Source organism: Homo sapiens, chromosome 2 (genome assembly GCF_000001405.40).
Source record: "Homo sapiens chromosome 2, GRCh38.p14 Primary Assembly".
Lineage (NCBI taxonomy): Eukaryota > Metazoa > Chordata > Mammalia > Primates > Hominidae > Homo > Homo sapiens.
Window position 1 is genome coordinate 199,464,131 of NC_000002.12, and position 9,305 is coordinate 199,473,435.

Here is a 9,305-nt window from a genome sequence, read left to right on the forward strand (position 1 = left end):
GGTATCACGAATCCCCTCGGACACCGTTTCAGTCCGTCAAGACCTTGGCCTCCGGGAAAGGCCCAAGTGACTGTGACGGCGGCGACTCGGGCTCAGTTCTCCCCCACCCCGTGGTGCCTTCCCTCCCCGCCCTACAGCCAAGCCCAGAGGAACAGGGCATCGCCTCGCGCGGTCCCGGAGCCACATCCGGACTTGGGAACCCCGTGTCGGGCTTAGAGGACTTCACTGGGCGGGTTGGGGTTTATTTTCAATAAATTCAGCTGTTCACATACACCCCCACCACCATTTCCACGCGCGCGCGCGCACACACACACACACACACACAGAGGGACTTGTCAACTATTGAGACAGCGACCCAGAAAGGTGTAAATTCACCTGGTGCCCACCCAATTGCAAAGCTCCCAGACCCACACAAAACACTAGCGAGCCCTGGAGGTCTGAGACGCCCCGCGCCCGACTCACGGCGCGAACACCAGCGCTCCGGCCGGGTCGCAGGGGCCGGTGCCCAGCGGGCCGGGGTCTGGCGAGCCAGGCAGCGGGCCGGCTGAGCTCCTGCGCCCCGCGGTCGCGTGGCCTACTCGCCTACTCCCTTATTATTGGCTGGGACCTGTTCCTTTCCAAAGTGTGATGCCCGGTGTCCTACCCTAGGCCACGCGGAGCTCTCTCCCGGCGTGTCGGGCCCTGCGCCCCTGCCCAGTGGCTCACCTCGGCTCGCTGCGCCCGCCTTCGCCCCAAGTGCCCAGGACGGAGCGAGGGGCTGTGGGTCGGCGCAGGGACGCTGGCTGCTCACCTCCAGGAGCCGACAGAAGGTGCCTTCGGCGTCACGCGTCCAACCCTGGGGCTGATTTAAATAACTAATAAGCTCAGAGAAATTTTACGAGGGGAACTTTTCCTTTTAGTATCAATAAAGCCTAGTAATTGGGTTTGTTGGTTACCTAAGCTCGAGTTCGACTTTCTCAGTCTCTCTCTCTCTCTCTCTTTCTCATTCAGAGGCAACGTTTTCAAAAACCGGCAATTGCGTGTGCGTTTGGGGTGTGCAAGTGTGAGTGTAGATGTGTGAAAGTTATTTGTTTCAGCAGTCCTTGTCTCGAGAGCAATCATCATTGTAGCTTTGAGTGAAGAGTTTTCAAAGGTGAACTGTTGTTATTTCTGTCAACAGAAAACTGTTGACAACCATTCAAGTCTCACAATACAAGTATAATATAAGGGAGGGTGGAATATCTAAAGACTGTCCCGTTGGATATGACAGAAAGACATCTGCAGTGTTTCCCTAATAGTTTGCATTTTAATTAACTTTCATTACATTCTGACTTCCACTCAATATCCGTTGTTTTCAGTAAAGACTTCTATATGATAAAACGTTGTAATTTTTGTTCTGGTTTTCCAATCTTCTTGAAAACCAGTTCTTAATTGTAAGGAATTTTTCCACCTGGGAACCATGCCGTAATTTAAAAATATAAAAGACCTTTCATGAACAATAACTGCAAATAACCCATTTGTTAGTGTCTGCGGAGTTGCTGGCACCTATACAAAGTCTCTGAAATATAAAGGCAATCTAAGAATGTTTCTCTCCAACCATAGTGATATATACTTTTTTCGTTTTTGTTGTGTGGAAGTTAAAAACACTTTTAAAGTTACTTTTTAGAAAAGTGTTGTGCTAAAATTTACCTGAACTTAAATTCCTTATCAATGTTAGCCTAACGAAATGAAGAGTATTTCTGAATCAGATTATTGTTAGAGTCATATGCTAAATAGTAAAGGAAAAGAAATGGGAATTAAAGTTTGCAAACCAAGACCAGGGAAAAGTCGGCTCCAGAAGTTACCAGGAACCCACCCAAACCTGTGCACTCATATCTCCTGTATTTACATATTATAGACAACTTTTCCTTTCCACTTTTAGCTAGAAAAGTGGTGGGCTCCCCTTAGTTCGTCTCGTTTTATGCTGTAAGACCCAAAGTCTGCTGAGGGCTGCCCCTGCCAGGTAACTTCCGGAGACCCGGAGTTACTTGGAGACAGACCCGGCCCTTTGCACATTCCAAGTGAAGGACGTCTCGCGCATTCTTCCCAGAGCTACCACACACCTAACCTCTTCTGGACACCCAACAGCTGGGGCACTGGAGCACCTGACCCTACTCAAGATCATCCCCCAGCCCTTGCCGGCACTTAGGGACAGCAGAATCTGAGCTGTGGGTGTACATACTCCCCATTTTCTGCTTTCCCAGAGGATCACAGACAACTTTTCTTCCCATCTGCTCCCGCTGGACTCCTATGATCACCCATCATCCCCAGTTGTTGCTATCTCTGAGCTCTTGGTGACCAGCCCTTGTCCCCCAAGCTGACCAAGTTGAGAGAGTACTTGTCCTCCCAGCACTGTCTCTCAGTATCAGGAAGTTGAGATCAGTGGCAGGGAAAGATGGAAGGATTGGCAAGGAAAGTGCAGGGCCAAGTAGAGTAGCTCAGAGCCTCAGCAATGGGCACCTGTCCTCCCCCAAACAACCTGTGGTCTCTCCGGCTCCCTGCTTTTCCACCATTGGTCCCATCCTGGGCTACCAGCCTCCACTGAGCTGCTCTGGGAACTTAGGGTGTCTCACATTACTTCCCTGCTATGGCATATTTTGGTTTCAGTTGAGCTATTTTCTGAAGATGTGGATACTCCAGTTTTATTCTTTTTCTGTCTGTGTCTCAGTACTCTTTTCCTTTTTTAAGAATGTTCCCCAAGCCTGGCTTTTGCCAGACCCTGTGCCATCTCCCCAAGCTCTATTTACAAGAACAAGAAGTGATTTGTCTGTTTATAGCAGGTTTAATTAAGACAGTTATGCGCCGTGAACTCTTTGGGCCTCAATCAATGCACTTAGATTTGGAAACTCAGATAGAATCACATCTTACACGTGCGGCCCCGGCTGGCCGCCCAGGCTGAGGACAGAGCTATTGTTTTCTACATCAGCCTCACTGGAACTGGGCAAGTCCCCTGCAGAACTGGCACCCCCTGCTCCTCCCAAGAGACCTCAAGTCAGGTCTCCCGGCCAGACTCAGGCCTTTCTAATACAGGCGTGAAGGGCGGGACGCCCAGAGCCCTCTTGTTGGCCGGTGGCTAAGGAGCCAGGTGGATAACTTCTGCGGATTCGGCTTTCAGGCTGCTGGAGCTCTCCCCAGCCCGAGGCCTTAGCCCAGCGCAATCCCTTGTCCAGACCGGCCAGTTTCCGCGTGGCGAAAAAGGGGGAGGCAAGTGTGTCTTTTCCAAGGAGCTTTTATCCAACAGCCTCCCCTCCCCCCAACTCTCAGCCTTAGGTGCCGGGCTTCAGCCGAAGCGTTTTTCAAATTTGTCATCATTGGAAACCTCGGACAAGTGGAGTGTAAAATTTTGAGGGTTTCCAGGTAGGCTCTGACTTCAGGCATTCAATGAAAGGGGAAGAGGGCTGAGGGCGGGGGAGAGAGACAAGCACAGAGGGCTCCCTGTAGTCGGCAGGAATTCCCTCCCTCTGCAGCCCAGCTGCACCCACTAGCACACACTAGTCTTGCCTTCTCCCGGCTTTGGAAGAATCCCCACCACATTCTTTAGCTCTCAGAAAGGAGAGGGCAGTCAGGTCAAGGTCTTTCAGCATCCCTACCGCAATATACCCCTCCCAGCCCCCTCACCACCACCACGTTGGCCTAGGACACAGGACCCCGGGGCCAGGGCCTCAGTGACTGCAGCTTATGCCACCTAATGCAGAATGGGGTGTCCCTGCCTCCACTGCTCCTCTCGGTCTCAGCATCCAGGTCCTGAAACCCCTGCGATTCTGGCCTGGGAAGCCAGACTTGCCACCAACATCATGGTATCACCCATAATTGATCCACTCAGTTTTCAGTAGATGTGGAATCCAACAAGAGTAACACCACCCTCCACGCCCCACTCTTTTTTCTTTCTTTCTTTCTTTCTTTTTCTTTCTCTCTCTCTCTCTCTTTTTTTTTTTTAAGAATCCAAGGCACTTGAAACATTCTGAGTGTGCCTGCAGTAGGGTCTCAGAGGAGTTGCTCTGAAAGCTGTTGAGAGCAGCCACCTTTGCTGTCACTGAGAGCTTGGCAGGGTCAGCTCTGGTGGGCCGTTTGCACCCAGGCTCTGATGGCACCAGGATGGCTTCCTGCAACCCGGTAGGAGGACTGGGGTGGGTGGGTCCAGTATTTCGTTTCTTCCTCTTCCTTTTTTTTTTTTTAATGTCCCTCTTTATTTCTATTGAAGACTAACCTCAGTATCAAAGGGTGCACTTGTTTGTCCTAAATGGCTTGTAGCTCTTTCCTACTCTGCCACAGGACATTAGCTCTGGGAGCACCGCCTGGCAGGGCCTTCGCTTTGGGCCTAAGCATCCAACTGAGGCCCAGCAATTCCACCTGTGGGGAATCTTGCAGTGAGGTATTTGTGCATCAGGAGTGGGGAGTGAGGGAGAGAGAGCTGGGCTGGTGCAGTATCCACTCTCGCACCTCCTCCCTGAGCGGAGCTCCAGTATAGACTAAGTGAATGAATCCATGAATCAGCTCCATAGCCGAGGGGTAGAAGAAGCAGCCGTCTTCGTTAAATGGGCTGTTGGCAGTTGCGGCTGACTGCTCTACCCCTCGCAGGCCCGCCTCTGGGCAGGCCTGAGGTGGCCCTGGAGCCCCGCCAGCAGCCCCCGCCCCTCAGGCCAAGCTCTGGCCCTGGCAATCTCTGCACTTTGTCATCACGCCCGAGTATTTGACATTCGCAATTATCTGCAAATACCCTGATCAGTTTGTATATGAAACACTTTTTTTCCTGCCTTAAGGTTGGAATCTGGTAAGTTTCAGACAAGTGGTTGCAGGGGGAGATGACCCAGGGGACCGTGCGGGACAGGGCCGGTGAACCCGATTCCGCGAGGCGGGCGTCTCGAAGGGACTGGTCTGCGTGCCTCACCGGGTTCCCCAGCCTGGCTCCGAGGAAAGGCCGCGCGGAGGCGAGAAAGGGCCCACATCTCGAGTCTCCAGTCTCTCCTTGAAAAGAGCACCCCCTAATCCCGGAGGAAGGGAGGGTGAAGGAGGAGGGGAGAGCCCACTACAGGCAAGGCAGGAAGGTTAATCATTTTGTTAACCGGAAAGGGTGCTGCCCCGCCTGGCCGTCGTCACCGAGCGTGTCAGTCACCCGCTCTCGATTTCGCCGCAGAATTACCTGCTCAAAGAGCCACCCCAAGAAGCCCTCAGCTCCGAGGTCTTCCCGCCCGTCGTCTGCGGGAAGTAAACGGCGTCCTCCCTCCAAAGAAGTGGATGCCCCTTCGACTCTCCTCCGCCCCCCGGCGGTTCCTAAATCTAGGAAAGCCAGCCCCGGCATCGCTCACTACTCCTGCACCTCAGCTCTGGGATACCCGCTCAGTACAGACAGACCATCAACCAAAAAAGAAAAGAAGAAAAGAAAAGTGGTGGTGGGGGTGGGGGTGGGCAGGGAGCGTAAAGTAGCGAGATCACTTATTTGACTCTTCTGTTTTCTTAGGAACCTGATCCTGGCCCCCGGCAGAGCATAAGGGCCCGAGGCCAGGGACCTAGAGGCCGGACCAAGTTCGCGCGAGGTGTTCACAGCCTAGGCGCCCCGGGCTTGGCTTCGTACTCTGCAACAAGCCAAGCTCCCTTGCCACGAGTATATCAGCAACTTCAGAAATAAACACCAGCGAAACCCCTTCCCACATTAGCTTGTTGCTGTGCTACTGACACTGGGCTTAGTCGATGTTCACACCTATTACATTTTTCCGGAAAGTGGGAGGAGCAGGGGGTAGAGAAAGCTGTGTGTATTGAGGGAAGGGGAGATGTGTGCAACACCTTCCAGAAAAATGGGGAGGTAGTTTAGAAAGTTTTTCTCTGTAACAGCACAGCTTCTGAGAAGGCAGAGAGAAGAAAGCAGACAGGAAACGAATCCCTTCCTCCTCTCCCCTTTACCCCCTTCCTTCACTCCCTAGACCAAGCTGGTCACCCGGCTGGGAATCAAGATTGTGTGGCTGGGAAGACACCAGTCTCTGTGCTCGGGTTCAGCCCAGTCGGGCAAGAAAGTCTGGGCAGCTGGAGAAGGTCGTCACAGTCTCCCGTGGAATCTTGTTGCCTGAGAGCCCCATAACGGAAAGGGCTAAGACGACTCTTCCACACACAGGTCGCAGCCCCTGCCGCGGAGGATCCCCAGGAAGATGCTGGGGACGCTCTGAGCATCGGCCTTTCTTTACCCCCGACTCCCTGGAGCTTGGTCTCGGGATGCCAACTTGGGGCACGGAGGCGACGGGCTGCTCCGAAGCTGGAGGGTTTCTGCTTGGGTCAGAGGGATCACGACCTCAGCAGAGCCAGGAGAGGTTGGGTGACACCCACTGCGTATTGCACTTGACTCAAAACTGCCCTCGGCCTGCGGAAGAGGCGAGGGCAAGAAGCCTGGTGGCGGGTCAAACCTTCACCCTATTATTTTCTATCATTTTTTATGCCCATATATTTGTTAAATGTATGGCTGCTATACACCAACAGCTTATTCTACAAGAAGTGCCCCCGAGGAGGATTGGGTTAAGCTTTGCAAATTTGGCTTCCCAGGTAATGCGCTTCATTATTCTGCTCCCGACTTACCCACCACACCAGTGGGTACCCGGAGCAGCACCCACTTGGCAGAACTGATGACTGCTTGGGCCCAGCGGAGTGCGCATTGCGCTAACACGCGCACGGGAATTGCACCCTTGCCGGAGCCTCCGCACCGTGCGCCCTTCAAAGAGCTGGCGACCCCGCTCACGTGTAAGCAACCTCCCACTTTGAAACTAATTCGCACCCGGGTCTTTCACCCCAAAGGACTTTGCTGCGGACGCTGCTCTGACCCAAGACGCGGGAGAGAAGTCCCAAAGGCTACAGCCAGGGGCTGGGGGACTCCTCTGCTCACCTTAGTCCTTGATTTCGAAGGCCCCAATTAACTATCTGTTGTGTCAGAATCGGCGAGTGCAAAGTAGCTGCGCCCCGCTGACGCGCTCTCTCCTGGGTCCGGGTATCCCAGGGCATCCGGAGCTGGGGAGGGTTGTGCGGACTACCCAAGGCACGCGCAGATACCGGGCAGGGAAGAAGGGCTCCGTGTTCCAAGGATGGTCGTTTACCTCTCCTGAGATCAGCCCTAATCCCTTGGTAACTTAAGCGCCTCTGAACTCGGGGAGCGCTTGGTGGGGCGCCTCCCTGCATCCACCCCTACCCCTGGCTCCTTCCCAGGCCCAGCATCTTTCCCACCATTCTCACCCCCACCACCCCCACGGCCCCGCCCGTTTAGAGGCGTGCGGTGGGCACTTGGTTTACAGAACCGGCGTTTCAGATGTTTATTTGCAACTAATTTCTTGTGCTGGAAAATGCTTGTTACCCGGGCGGAGCGCTTCCGCTCTGCGCGGTCCGGCCCGGCGGGCGGTAGCTCGCTGATCCCTCCGGCGAAGCCTCCAAGGAGCGGGCGGCTGGGAGAGGTTGTGCCACCCGGGACCAAGCCATCGGCGCTGCTCCGGACTCCCGGTAGGGGGAGCCGCCGCGGGCGCCAGGCCGGATTGTGTTCTGGCCTCGGGGCGGCCCTGCTGCCAGCGGCCGGGACTCTCAGCACAGAGCTCGGGAGGACTCCACCTGCTCTCCAGATAAGGCGCCATGAGCAGAGAAGGGAACAGACGGCCAAGCTCCCTCCTAATTCCCCGTTGTTGCAGAGCAAAGAAGATGGGGGAGAACTAATTATATTCTCTAGGTCTAAATATTGTTGAAAAATTTGTAGGTGAGATCACCTCCTTTGCCCATATCCATATATAATATATCCATTACATGTGTTTGCCCATATATATACGTATGCCATATGTAAATATGTACGAGTGTGTATGTATGTGTATAGCAGTGGTTTAGAATTAGTCTCAGTTCCACAAATTTTGAGCCCTTTTAATATTTTAGGTGACCTAATACCTTCTCACTGTATTTTCCAAGTCACTTATTTCCAAGAGTTTTAGGTGATCCCAGCATAGGAGCTGAGCATAGGAGCTCAGATGAGACTTGCCAGTTTTGCTGCAGTAATGTCAGCAAAAGAGTCTCTCTCTTTCTGACTCTATAGACTTAAGTAAGGGTTTACAGGCTTTCATTTTAAGGTATGACTGATATTTAGAGAACAAGACTAAACCAAGGTCAAGGGGAAAACAGTTAGACTGTGAACCTGCAGACCACTCCACTGCACCCAGTGTGGCCGTACACCTGTGCTGAACGGCCAGAGACTTCCTGGTCAATACTCCCACAGATAAAAGACTGCAGGATCTGCTTATACACAAATCCATCTTTCGCTGGGAACCCACAACTCATAACAACTCTCCTAATGCCAAGTCATCAAGGCCTCTTGAAAGAGAATCATAAAAAACAAAGAATTTCAAACTTGGAAGGAAACCTAAAGTTTACTGGTGAGGAGCTTGAACTGAGTAGAAGCAAAGAATCATACTCCAGATGAGAAACGCCCCATGCACTGAGCTGAGACTGGAACTCTCCTCTTCTTACTCTCAGTCCAGTAAGTTTGACTACAGAGCACTCATTATCATTGTGATTATTATGTTCCCGCATATTTTGTCGTTCTTAGTTAGGCATACTCCTTTAACACTATTGTAATAAAAGCAAAATCTGGAAGATCTTTAAGAGTGTAGCAGTTGCTTCCAAGGGAGGCTGAATTTTAGGAATGAAGTTACATATAACATTGACATATCTGGGGGAAAGACTAGAAAAATATAGTTTCATTGCTTTTTTGTGTGTTTTTGTTCTTGTTTGAGACGGAGTGTCACTCTGTCACCCAGGCTGGAGTGCAGTTGTGCTATCTTGGCTCACTGCAACCTCTGCCTCCTGGGTTCAAGCGATTCTCCTGCCTCAGCCTCCTAAGTAGCTGGGACTACAGACGCCTGCCACCATGCCCAGCTAATTTTTGTATTTTTAGTAGAGATGGAGTTTCACCATATTGGCCAGGCTGGTCTCGAACTCCTGACCTCAGGTGATCCACCTGCCTCGACCTCTGAAAGTGTGGGATTAGAGGCGTGAGCCACCATGCCTGGCCAGTTTTATTGTTTTATCCCTGTTTAATAATGTTGGATATATGAGGCCAGGCACAGTGGCTCACGTCTATAATCCCTGCACTTTGGGAGGCCAAGGCAGGTGGATCACTTGAGGCCAGGAGTTTAAGACAAGCTGGCCAACATGGTGAAACCCCGTCTCTGTCTCTGCCAAAAATACAAAAATTAGCCAGGCGTGGTGGGGGGCACCTGCAATCCCAGCTACTCAGGAGGTTGTGGCAGAAGAATTGCTTGAAGGGGGAGGTTGCAATT

At 52.3% G+C, this 9,305-nt stretch overlaps 1 protein-coding gene and 1 long non-coding RNA gene across 3 annotated transcripts in view, besides 1 other annotated feature; one reads left to right on the plus strand and one right to left on the minus strand.

The window, feature by feature from the left end:
• Positions 1-7,136, minus strand: part of SATB2 (SATB homeobox 2) — a 201,767-nt gene extending 194,631 nt beyond the window's left edge. The window contains exon 1 of one of the 2 annotated variants that reach the window (NM_001172517.1): positions 706-978. The gene's annotated coding sequence lies outside the window, so the exon portion shown is untranslated. Of the gene's footprint in view, positions 1-705; positions 979-6,883 lie in introns of those variants that run through there. The other variant, NM_015265.4, reaches the window with a different exon arrangement.
• SATB2-AS1 (SATB2 antisense RNA 1) lies at positions 3,968-8,628 on the plus strand. The gene is made up of 2 exons (NR_026830.1): positions 3,968-4,131; positions 5,477-8,628. It is a non-coding gene; the product is annotated as an SATB2 antisense RNA 1 (long non-coding RNA).
• Positions 7,408-7,597: a silencer, noted in NCBI's record as "silent region_12220". NCBI's record gives its function as "represses an Ori minimal core promoter by ATAC-STARR-seq in GM12878 lymphoblastoid cells {active_cell/tissue: GM12878}" and the evidence as "EXISTENCE:reporter gene assay evidence [ECO:0000049][PMID:35858748]".